General features: G+C 39.3%; 3 annotated features.

Moving 5' to 3' along the window:
- Positions 480-579: an enhancer, noted in NCBI's record as "active region_20849". NCBI's record gives its function as "activates an Ori minimal core promoter by ATAC-STARR-seq in GM12878 lymphoblastoid cells {active_cell/tissue: GM12878}" and the evidence as "EXISTENCE:reporter gene assay evidence [ECO:0000049][PMID:35858748]".
- Positions 610-659: an enhancer, noted in NCBI's record as "active region_20850". NCBI's record gives its function as "activates an Ori minimal core promoter by ATAC-STARR-seq in GM12878 lymphoblastoid cells {active_cell/tissue: GM12878}" and the evidence as "EXISTENCE:reporter gene assay evidence [ECO:0000049][PMID:35858748]".
- Positions 930-989: an enhancer, noted in NCBI's record as "active region_20851". NCBI's record gives its function as "activates an Ori minimal core promoter by ATAC-STARR-seq in GM12878 lymphoblastoid cells {active_cell/tissue: GM12878}" and the evidence as "EXISTENCE:reporter gene assay evidence [ECO:0000049][PMID:35858748]".

Below are 13133 nucleotides of genomic sequence, written 5' to 3' on the forward strand. Positions count from 1 at the left end.
AGAGGGTATTTCAATTTCCTCTGAATAGCTTGACTAATGATGATCACTTGCTATGGGAACAAGAAAGCTTTTGTTTGTGAATTTTAACTTTCAATCTCAAATGTTTTAAGACAGTTTTCAGAAAGGTGGCAGGTCATACCATTTAAAGAACCGTTTCTGAGAGGCAGGGTCTGTGAGGTGTCAGGGAAGGGGTACGCCCCCATCTATTATACTCGGCCTTTCGATACAGAGAGAGGCATCAGTTCCCTCACATCCACTTCACACCCTCTTCCCCACCCCACTATGCAACAAGCCCAGCCTGGGTGCCTGGGGGCAGTGCTCTTTATCACCCACACAACCAGCACAGTAGCATTTGCTGGGCTGAAAGGGAGGGTCATGCAGGGGTGCTTCTTGGGAAGGGCTAGCACCTGGAGAAAGCCATGCGGGTTGGAATTGGGATTGTGAATAAGTTTATAGAGGAGGCTTTTCCCTACTAGATCACCTTATTAAATAGCATAGCACTCTTTCTTTAAGGCAAGTAAAAGTGTATGTCTGCTTTCTTCCTTTTTTTCTGGGTTAGCATCCTCTTTCAAACAAATCTCTCAGTCCATCAATGTCTTTTTAGCTGCCCTTATAATCCCTAACTAATTTGAACTCAGGAATCAGCACCTTAAATTCCCTAAGCAAAGCATCCCCTTTCTCAAAGCTGTTCTTCTCCTTTTGGGTTGCCTTTCCTGTCCGTGCTAATAGCATCATCTATACCACCAGTCACTGATTCAGAACCTTGGGGGCAGCTTTCACTTCTGCTTCTATTCTGACCTCCACCCACCACACTCCCTCGAGTTCCATGAGTTCTACCTCTCACACCACCCTGCATTTCACTTTCTGACTTCTATCATCTTGGCTGGGTGCTCTTGCTTGGAACCTTGCTGGACCTCAGCCTGAACTGCTCACCTCCAGCATCTCTATTCCAACGCATCCCACATCGCACTGAAAGCTCAACCTTCCTCAAATATGTATACATATGTGAAGCATTTATTTCCAGATGTTGGTGTTTAAGTGTCCAAGTTTTTCCATCGTCTCCAGAATAAAATGCAAGCTTCTTAGATGGGCCACTGAATAGACGCCTTAACCCATCCTTTCAACCTCCTCCTCGTCAAGTATTTTGCAGTCTGCTCCAGCAGATTTTAAAATGTCCTCACAGTTTACTCAGTTTGTATTTTAGTGGAATTTGTATTTTTAGTAGAACTTAGGCATTATTTGGGGTTAGGGAAGATATTTGAGGTCCAAATAGACCAAGAGCTAAGGAAATTTGCAAGATAAACAGAGTTGGGAAGGAAATCAAATGAAAATCTAAGAGGAAATAGATCAAATCTGAAGAAGTAGACAAAATTGAAGACAAAATAGGCAAAAGGCCTCAAATCCAGGAGCTAGCTGAGACAGTAGCATGAAGTAGGAAAAACAGAAATCTGAGCTTAGTGCTAAAATAGAGGCAGCTCAGCTTCAGTCCTTTTTATGGTTCTTCTAAGGATGAGTGATCCTTACTAATTGATGTTAAAAGTTAGAGCCTTGCCCTTTGGGAGGCCAAGGTGGGCGGATCGCAAGGTTAAGAATTCGAGACCAGCCTGGTCAACATGGTGAAACCCTGTCTCTACTAAAAAATACAAAAATCAGCCGGGTGTGGTGGTGTGCTCCTGTAATCCCAGCTACTCAGGAGGCTGAGGCAGGCGAATTGCTTGAATCCGGAGGGGGAGGTTGCAGTGAGCCGAGATCATGCACTGCACTCTAGCCTGGGCAAGAGAGCAAGACGCTGTCTCAAAAAAGAAAAAAAGTTAGAGCCTTTACCTGTGATGTGACTCCAAATGTGGTAGCAGCAAGAAGTTCTGTAATCCTCAAGCTACTCAAATGAAAAAACTATTTCTCATAGAAGCAGCATATGATGTTATTACTTGACTTCACTCAGAAAGATTATGTTCGGATTTTGCAGGGCTTTTGACTCAATCATACAGATAATGAGAAAGGCAAAGATAGCTTCAACATGCAGCTAAAGTTTTGTCCATACTGCCAAACCTTTGTGATGGATTGTATTGATAGATCAATTGGAGTCAAGGGGTGTGGGGGGAACTGGTCACTTCATTCAGCAAGCATATACCAATCAATTAAGTGGTCTGTTAAGAAACAGCCAATTCAGTCTAAAATGGTTGAGATTGTGTATGTGCATATGTACTCAGACAAAAGTAGGAAATATTGATAAAATAATCTTTCGGTTATTACAGCCATTCAGAAAGCACTCAGATATGTTGTTTTGTGACTTCTAATGGCCCTTGGTATTAAAAACAATTAAGCAGAGCAAAGATCTGTTTCCATATCTACTCTTAGAAGAGATCATGAAAACAGCAAAGTCGGGAAAAGAAAAATTACTCTGTGTGCGTATGTGTGTATGCTTCTCCCACATGGGGTAAAAGACACAAAAGCTCAGAAGTGAATCACCACCTCTAGAACCATGAGTGTAGGCTTTGGGTCTAACTTCGTTTCTGTGGAAATGAGGCAGTTCAGCTATGCACAGAAATTAAAGTGTACATGGGGAAAGCGCTAAACAAAATATGAATTGTAATGAAATCTAAAATGCCAGTGGTCCTATTATTGTGTGTTTTATGTGACTGTGAGGCCAAACAGCATGGGTAATGAGAGGTCACGATAGCTAAAACTCAGGGCACTAATGGCTCTAACCCACTGGTGAAAGCGGTGACCTCACTAAAATGCAGCCCTAATGGAAATAGCCCCACTAGGAAAAAGCCAGCATCTGTATCTTAAGAAAATGGAGAGAAAGAGAGAAAACTTTTTAATCCACCTAAATATCTATTGTTTCAAAGAATAATGCTTTTAAAAATCACTTGGGAAATTTCTCTTGCAAGTGCCTGCTTCTAATGCTTCCTCTACCCAGACTCCAATCTTCTAGGTTTCCCTCCAGTGAGCGAACCAGCCAGCTGTGTCAGTGCCATTCGGAAGTGCATTCCTGGATATGGCAACAGTGATCAACATCCCCATGATATGAGAGATCTGTGGTTAAGCAATGTACAAGGAGGCTGCCAGGAAAAGAGATGGCACTAGTTGGAGCTGAATATTTCCTGAGGCTTGTAAGTATACAGCCAGCCCCTGAGCCTGCGACCATAGCCAAAACCAAATCAGTCAGAGACCCTCCCTATTCCTGTACAGCCAATTGGAAGAGATAGGTTTCCCATTGCCTTTCAGTTTTTTGTTCTGTTTTTGCTTTGGTCCAGTTTTTACCTCATTTTAAGAGAAAAATGGTAAAGGGACCAACTTCAGGTTTTGCCCCTAGCCATAGAAATTATAAGAGGACCTCCACTTTGACCACTTTCTCTGTTCAAAGAGTTCTTACATGATACATTTCACTAGATGTTAGGCTCCTTGAAGTCCAGGATTATTTCTAAACTTTTTAAAATTATCACCTATAACTCTTAGTATAATGTTCTCCATTTATTTAGGAGAAAGATGGCAAATTAAACATAAAACTCCATCATGTATCAGAATTGCTGAAATAACATTTTTAGTCCCATATCATGGAAATTGAAAAAAATGGGAAATTTTAAAAGATAGTGAAATATACAGACAGGCACACAGTGAGGAAAGAAGGAGGAAATGTATTTAGGAAGAAAAGAGATTAGATCCTTCTATTCTCTCGCATTCCGCCAGCTGTGGAATCATGAAGGGAGGCAAACATTAAGCTCATTTCTTACTCAACCATTCATTCCTTTCATTCCTTTTGAGAGTATGAAAACACATCCAATTTGTCTCTATCCAGACAAACAGTGTCCCAGAGTCTTTTAGTTTGAGTTATATTTTTACATGACAGTTTCATATAAAGAAAAATTTCATATATCATTTTAATCTTAAAACAATTATTAGTAAATTGGATGAAGAGGCATAGAGAAGTAAGTGTGAAAAGTAATGATGGGGAAAAGAAGATGTGATGAAGAGATCAATACCCAAAGACTAAAATGAAGAAACAGAGGGTGACGGAGAAGAAGCAGAAGAAGAATTGAATAGATTACAAATGGAGTGTTCATCAAAGCAGGAAATTAGTTTTGTGAATTATTCTTGTAGCTCCTGTATTGTTTGCATGAGCTATTGAATGGCAAGGCAATGAGGATTAATACCTCTCTTAATAGTATTGTTGGTTAACCTGTGATAACAATTCTTCAATTGTCTTCCCTAGATCTTAAAAGGCTCTGTTCTGAATTATAGAGGAACAGCAGCCCATCTGGAATAAATTATTCTCTTGGCCTCAAAAACAGGGAGCAGAACATCACCCCACTTTCTAGCAGACTGATTCTCAACTTTCTCCCTCATCCAATCACATAAGAATGTCACACTCCCATCATTCATGCAGCTGGTTATGGCAGGCATCCCCCTTGAGAAAGTACGGTGGGGGTACAGACTCCTCAAGATGGAGGCTTCGGGATTCCTGGGATGGAGGCTGAGGGGTGTGACAGGAGAGCAGGGGCACGGTCATGTGGCTGTTGGAGTTTGAATCTGCTTGCTAGGAAATCCCAGTGCTCCAAAATAACCCCTACTGCTTACTACACCTGGTTGTGAATTATTGTTGTAGAATTTCAGTATAAATCAAGATCCCCAGTCTTAAACTAAAGTCTGATGTTCAGCCCAGAGGAGGCATGGAACGATAGAAGTTTATCTGGATAGCCAGAGGGCAACAGGAAAATGATGTTAACTTGCCTTGTGAAGAAAGGTAGTAGGGATACCCATACTGATTGCCTGAGCCCCCTGCCTTTTATTCTTTCCCCATGTCAAGCCATCCCACCCATCTTCCACAAATCTCCATGAATCATGGCACCTTCTCACTTAGAGCCCACTGTCTCTTCAATGCCCTCAGTATAATAAAGCGTCCCCATGAATTGCCCCACAACCTTCTCTAGCTTTACTTGCATAGTCTACCCCCTCCAAAAGACCCATGATCCAGTCACTGTTCCCCACATGGTTCCCCTGATCTTTCAGGCCTCCGAGCATTCCTCAAACTGTTGTCTGCACAATTGAGCTTCCTTTCCCTCACATACAGTTCTAACAATATTCTTGCTATTATTTGTGATCTAGCTCAAATCAAAAATCCTCTAAGAAATGTCCCCACTTCAAATCAAAATTAATCTTTTATTCCATTTATGTTTATAGCACTATGGACTATATTTGTATTTCCTCTTTCATTCACTCACTGATGCATACTGAATTCCATTCCCCCCACAATTCCTACATTAAAGTGCTTACTCCCAACATGACTATATTTCAGGAGGTGATTAAGGCTAAACTAGATCATAAGGATGTGGCCCTAATACAATAGAACTGATGTCCTTATAATAAGGAGAAAAGATACTAGAGACCTCTCTCTCTCTTTCCTGCCCCCAACTCCAAGCACACAGAGAAAGAACCATGTAAGGATACAGGAAGAAAGTGGCTGTTTGCAAGCCAAGGAGAGAGGCTTTCAGAGAAACCAAACCTGCTGGCACCTTGATCTTAGACTTCCAGCCCCCGGAACTGTGAGAAAATAAATTCCTGTTGTTTAAGCCACTCAATGTTTGATATTTTGTTAGGGCAGCCGGAGCAGGCTAACACATTTAGCAAACTTGTGTCAGGAAACTAATATATATTAGACCTCTTGATCATGCCCCCTGTGTAACATTGCCAGCTGTGCATCAGTGTAACTGCCCAACGGGAAGCTCTTTGTGGAGCGGTAAGGCTCAGAGCCAAGCACATGCCTTCTGCAGACTACAGGCTTACTCATCTGCTGAATTAAAACCAAATTTTGCTTAAACTACGTGTTGGCCCTGGAGAAGAGGAAGACATTTGCAGTATGATAGACAATACTGCCTTTCCTCAGGGCACATTTCAGCTCCTCCTCTGAGCATCCCACTGCACATGTTTACCTCATTTTTTCTGCCTGAGCCCTCCTGGCTCCTGAACTAAGAAACTTCTAAGCTAACGGAGCACAGTCCATGAATTGATTTCTAACCATGGCCATGGGTGCTGGCTTCCTCTTACCACGCAGTCTAAGAAAGACAAAAGCATTTGAAATCCACTTCTTTTTCTCCAATGTAGACCCTCCTTTTCTTCGTTTTAACAATTCAGTTTGTTTTCACATTTGGAAAAGAAAAAATGAGATGCACAAAATTCCCCTCTTTCTCTACTCCCTTTGGCTTTTTACACTGCAAAAGACTGTCCAAGTTCAGGAAAATTGATTTTTGCCATTTAAATAATCTAATCTCCAAAAACCTCTTAACACCTAAACGATAACTTTTTAAGCCACAGCAAGGTAATTAATACTGAAAATAGTCTCCGCAGGGGATCTGTGTATCTGCCTGCCCACATTTCCCATTCAGAAGAAATATCTAGTTTGTAGTTGTAAGTTTATGGAAAGATTTACCACAACAAACATGAATTCTATTTTAATAGGCCTTTCCTTCCACATATTTTACAAATTGATTAACTTAACTGACCAAATACTAATTAAAAATGCATTAGGAAATGGTTTGTATTCAACAGCTTTGCTAATATTCTTGCTGATGTTTTTGAAGCCCACTGAGGCAGAAAATCAATGCCATAGAGTCTATTTCTCTGCCATATCCTGCACACTGTACCAGCTCCCTGGTGCTGATGGGTAATGCACTGGGAGGAAAGAGCCAAGCCAGGGGGAGGAGGGAAATCATTATTTAAAGGCCAAATGCCACCATTAGCATTGCTAGCAAATTCAAAGATGCATACAAGCATAGAGATAGCTCTTCCCTTATTATTCACCTTGTTTTTTTGTGAATTGAGAGCATCCAGTGGAACTGGAGTAAGACTGATAAAAATCCTGCCTAGCAGGAACCCTTGTCCCTGACAATCATGCAAACACTGCTCATTCCAAACACTCCTCTTGCTGAGAAAACACTTTCTTCTCCTGAGAGCCAGGCCCAGTTGCATCCTGTCCTTAAAGCAGGAACTCTTATTCTGGAGTTTGAGGACAAGCTTCTGCAAATCTGTGAAGCTCCTGAATTTTGAATGTAGAGCACATTTTGGAGAGAGGATGCATAGCTTTCAACAGATCTTAAATATACCTGTGAGTCCAGAAACATCAGGAATGAAAATTCTCCCCATCTCAGTCCTCTAATTGCACTGGCTTATTGCCTTCCTGCAGCTGGGCAGTTGCCTTCCTTCTCCACCTTATGTCTCTCTCTGTACGTGCCATGTCGTATACCTAGAATACTCCCCACCTCCACTGCCTAACTATCTCTTACTCATCCTTTGGATGTTTGATTAAACATTGGTCTGACCACTCTGCTCCAGACCATTTCCCGTAATAATTTTCTTTCAAGGCACTTAACACAGTGTATAATTTAATATCTGTTCATTTAGTTGACTAATGTTTGTCTCTCCTCTTAAACTATAAACACCATAAGGATAGAGACCATTTCAGTTTTCTTCACCATTTTATCAGAACATGGAATATTGTACATGACATATAATGTTTGCTGTGTGAATGAAAAATATATGAATAATAAATGCATAATAAATTATAATAAATATATAAAAATTATCTATAATTAATGTAACATATAATAAATAAATTAATGTGTATACCAAGCCTTATTTTCTATGCCTCCTACAGCTAAACTGGCTTATACTGTCCTCTTAATTTTCTGAATTCTAAATTCTCTAGCACACAGTGACATCATTCATTTGAACAATGTTACTTTTTCCCTGCTTGCGTCACCTAAGTCTTAGTCACTCAGGTGACCTAAGCGTCCTTTGGGACAGAGAAAGGTCTTACAACCTTTGTGTAACTCCCATATCACTTGGCTTATAGTTGAGTGTGCATTAGGAAATAATGAGATTCACGTGTTGAATGTAACCAAATCAACCCAAATCTGCTGTTGAGTACCCCACAGCCAGCCAGTCATATTTAGCTCATTCTGTTCCATACTAATTTAAAATAATTGATAAGGTGTTAAGTATTTGGCCTGCCTTCCAGATTGATCACCAGCTTCCTAAGAGCCCGGATTCTTCCTTCTTTTCTAGAACACCTAGCATGGTGCTGGACGCTCAATGGATTCACAGTCAGCCTTATGGCTGACCATAACAAAAAGAACAGGGTTAAACAGTCAGAAGCTATGTTTTCCATGAGACTTTAAAAAAAAAAATGTGTAAATGGGAAAAAAGTCAAGACTGGCCTGAGTTTTCTGATCTCCTTTGCTTTCCACAAGTTGTAGCTTCCCCATTGCAGAACGCTAAAGAACATCACACTAACTTCTGTTGGGAAATCTGAATGGGCATCCATTAGGGCTCTTGCCCTCAACTCTAACAGATAAGCCACTTTTTTGACTGAATCATTTTATACTGCTCATCCTGATGCATGAACAATATTGTCTTCTCAGTTAGAAACCTGCAATATGAACTACAGGGGTAGTCCATATCTTTCTCATTCACTTCCCATCTGCTGTACATCTTCAGGGCAAAGCCCACACACTTAATCAGACCTCACTAATGAGTACATTTTGGACAGATTAGGAAAGGGAAAATTAAGATAGATTATTGTATCTGGATGCCCAGAAGCTCAGGCAATGGGAATATTTCATAACTCAGTCAACAAATATCTGAAGGTAGCATCTGTTCAGTATCATTATTTATGAGAAAGGTAGGAACAAAATGCATGGAGTTTGTGAAGCAAAAGAGATTCTGTTACATATTCTGAAAAGAAGCGATATTATAGCAACTATAAAATTGGTATTATTGTTGTGCCTTTTGATGCACCACGCTTTTGGAGTTGGAACGTGGCAATTGTATACCTCCTTTTGGGAGGTAATGAAACTAAACTGAGTGTCCTTATATTAAGGTCAGACACAACTCTATCTAAGAGAGCAAATAATAACACACATCAAAAATCTCCATGTTGAGTGGTGTGCTTTGTTGCAAAACACCCATGGGAAATCTTTTGTATTAGTTTGCCAGGGATGCCATAATAAAATATCACAGTCTGGGTGGTTTAAACAACATAACTTTATTTTCCCACAGCTCTGGAGGCTAGAAGTTCAAGATCAAGTTGTAAGTGGATTTGGTTTCTTTGAGGCCTCTCTTCTTGGCTTGCAGATGCCAGCCTACTCTCCATGTCCTCACATGGTCACCCCTTGGTCTGTGTGTTGTCTGTTTCCTAATCTCTTCTTTTTTATAAAAGATACCAGTCATATTGAATTAGAGCCCATTCATATGATGTCATTTTACCTTGATTATCTCTTAAAAGATGCTGTCTCTCGACAGTCACATTCTCACATACATACTGGGGTTAGGACTTCAACATATGAATTTTGAGGAGACACAGTTTAGCCCATAACACCCTAGTTTCTTGCAATATAGTGTTATCTCCTCCTAACCAGTCTCTCCCTACCTTCAGTACTTTTCTTCTCTAAATTATACCATAGCCAGAGATTCTTCCTGAACATAGATCTTACCTTGTCATCCTCCTGCCTAAAAACCACCCTATTTTCTATAGATTATAAAATGAAATCCACACTCTAACTGGACACATAAGGCCATTTCTTATGTGTCTTATTTGTGGCTCTTCCGTTTGCAAATTAATTGAACTCTGCCTTCCTCTCTGGATAGGTCTCCCACCTGACAGCCTATGGACCTTTAATTGTAAGTTTCCTTCTGCCTGGAATTCACTGCCCACCTCCACCCATACCCAAAACACATCTACTCAACAATCCCAGGCTCACCAACCTCCAGCACCATCATCATAAGCTCAGTCTTTCTAAATCACAATTCTGTTCATTTTAAGAGGATTCTCAAATCCTTCCTCCTTTAGTAACTATGTCCTGATACCCCCCAGTAGAAAGAAATCTCTTCTTTCTCCAAATTCCTACTGTAACCAATCTTATTGCATTTAAAAACAATATAATATAGAAAGAAATATGTTATCTTCCTTGGAGACTGGATCTTCATTAGTTTCCTGAGGCTGCCATAACATATTACCACACATTTGGTGGCTTAAGCAACAGAAATTTATTGTCATAGTTCTGGAGGACAGAAGTCCAAAATCAAGATGTTGGTAGAGCTGCATTCCCTGTGAAAATTCTAGGGTAAAATTAATTCCCTTTCTCTTCTAGTTTCTGGTAGCTGCAGGTATTTCTTGATTTATGGCCACATCACTCCAATCTCTGCCTCTGTAGCTATGTTGCCTCATTTGTTCTTGGAATTAGTCTTATCTTGATAATCCAGAAGTATTTATTCATCTTAAGATTCTTAATTATATGTGTAAGGAACTTTTTCCAAATAAGGCTTTGGGAATTAGGACCTCCACATATCTTTTGCAGAGGCCACCATTGAACTCATTACAGGATGCAATCTGATCCATTTCTATATCCCCAGTGTCTAAAAGTGTCTTACATAGGTGGGTGCTCAACAGATATTTGTGGAATGGATGGATAGCAAGTAAAATAATCTAGTTAGTTCAATCCTAACAGTTGATAGATGGTTCACTGAATGAACAAACTGTTACTCTGAAATAACAAAATCAGTGGATTGTTTTGGTGTTTCCAAAATAATGCTTTTGAGCATTTCTGTTGCAAAAAGGAAAGAAAAATCATCGATGGATTTCTGGTATAATTAAATGTCTAAGCTAGATAAACTACTTAATAATAATGTTTACATCAAAGACAATTTTTTATATGTTTCAATTAACATTTTCTCTCTGTTCTGTTGTATTCTAAATACCTCAGTGCCAAGAGCACTGAAATGTCTGATAGCATGATTCTTATGCAAAACAAAATAAAATTGACTTATAGTAAGTTTTTTTTAACAAACATTTCTTGCAAAGCATCAGATTTGTATATTACTCAAAGTGTCGATCATTAATTATTTAAAATATGACATCATTTCTTTTGAAATCATTTATTTTGTGGCCAGATATTGCATGAATTTATTTATTTTGTGGCCAGATATTGAGAACAGCTCACAGTGCAGCTTGAAGTACACGTTTAAAAGATAATTAAACTTACTTTTATTTTAGCATAATGACATTTTTGCAATGTAGAAAAGACCTGTTTAAGTTAACACCTTAACAGTGGGTAGCACTTTATGCTCTTTAAACTCCTTCCCTGAGTTGTATTATTTCATTAAATCACATGACAAGCATGAAAAGAAGGTAAGACCCACTTAATTCAAATTTCTAATCACTGGTGAGGCTCTTTTCAGAATGTACTTTTGTAATGGTCAATAAAATCCCTTTCACAGAGAACAAATATTCACCAGGATCTATACAGATAAAAGACTTTTATTTTTTCCTACAGAGCTTGTTAAAATCCATTCTGTCCATTTTGTCTCTAGATAAAAAAGACATGTGACCTAGGAATAAGCAATGGAAAGCTGTATCTCTAGAATTATTGATTATTGGCTTTTAGAGTTGGAAAGGGTCTTAGAAACTCTCTGGGCTTCAGACTTCGTTGAGTCTTAAAGGGGTTAAGTGACTTTTCCAAGGTCACAGCATCCCTAAAAATTTAGGACTAGAACCCAAGTCGTTGATTCCCGGTCCTGTGACTACTTCACCACAGTCGGAATTCTCAGTCATAAGAGTTTATATAAATATATATTATCAGTATATCACATGGGGCAACCTAGATAATGTGATTTTGTAGCTCTTGTGTATTATGTGGGTTCAGGAAGATGAAAAAAATCCAGTGGCAGCTTGTTAGCATCTCCTGCCAGCTCTGTGTTCACTGACATCACACTGGTAGTGTTTATACCATGGAAATCAGCAAACACTACAGATTAGGAGTTAACTAGTGAGGAGGTGGGTATAGTTAGCTAATTTTTAAACATTTGTTAGTATATCGCTGATAAAATTCTCACCCTCCTCTGTAAGAACAACATTCACCTTTGATTCCCTGGATCCATCATAGAGAGATGGGCTTAGAAATACTATTTTTTCTTTAAGATCTGAATGTGAATTAACAGCAGTTACTATTCATTATATGCTTTACCAATATGCCAGGAACTATTCATGGGATTTTACATGTTTTGCTCTTTAAATCTGCATGATAATCCTTTAAGGTAGGTACTCTTACTACCCTCATTCCACATATGAGGAAACTGAAGCCTAGAGTTGATGTGTAATTTACCAACCTTTGCTGATAATAAGCAGAAGAACTAGAATTGAAAACCAGATTTTGCTCCAAAGTCTTTGTTCTTTCCTCAATATGATGTTTCTTTCATCTTAGCTCTATGAACTACATTATTTGAATTAATAATTATAGCCACAGCCAGTGGGTGTCTACCAGCGCCTGATGTTGTGTTAGGCCATATACAAATATAAATTATCTTGCAAAGTGGGTGTTATTAGCACCTTGCATTGTACTGATGAATAAACTGACAGAAAGATTAAGTGATTTGCTCTCAGTTACAAAGCCCAGGAAACTGTGGGTGGAATCTACAGGAGGCCTGCCCATCCCAGACCTCTACTTCTCACACTACCTCAAAAGGACTGTGAACCGACAGCTCCAACCCATGATGACATTTGGTGAATGTGACTGATATGCCGCAGCTGTAACCTCTGCCAAAGTGCCACCTTTTGTTTTTTGTTCCCCTTGTCACAGGCAATTCTGAGGCACTTTAGACTTCTTCTATAAAACAGAAGTAGTAGTAACATATGTATCAAGGCTTTGGTGAAATTAAAGAGCTGAGCAGAGTGACTATGATCACCCGAACATCGTGACCTAAGCCTTCCAAAAACCATCATGGTTATTGATAGACTTTTCATTTCTACTTGGAATTAGCATAAAGCAAATTTTTTCTCTCACTCATTTACAGACAGCCTCAGCACTCAGACCAAAAATGAGAATGATTTTTGTTGTTGTTGTTGTTATTATTTAGGTTTTTTTCATAATCATAAACTTAATTCTTCAATACAGTTTGGCATGGAAGGGAATAAGGAAAACATGGAACTGGAAGGAAATAAGGAAAACATGGAACCCAAAGGGAATGAGAGCACAAAGATTATAGAATACTGCAAGCAAATGGGGTGGAGGGGTGCTCTCCTGAACTACAGAAGGAATGGTCTGGTGGTTAAGGTAAAACACAAGTCCAACTTACTGGAA

The sequence above is a fragment of the Homo sapiens genome, chromosome 3 (genome assembly GCF_000001405.40).
Source record: "Homo sapiens chromosome 3, GRCh38.p14 Primary Assembly".
NCBI classification, from domain to species: Eukaryota; Metazoa; Chordata; class Mammalia; order Primates; family Hominidae; genus Homo; species Homo sapiens.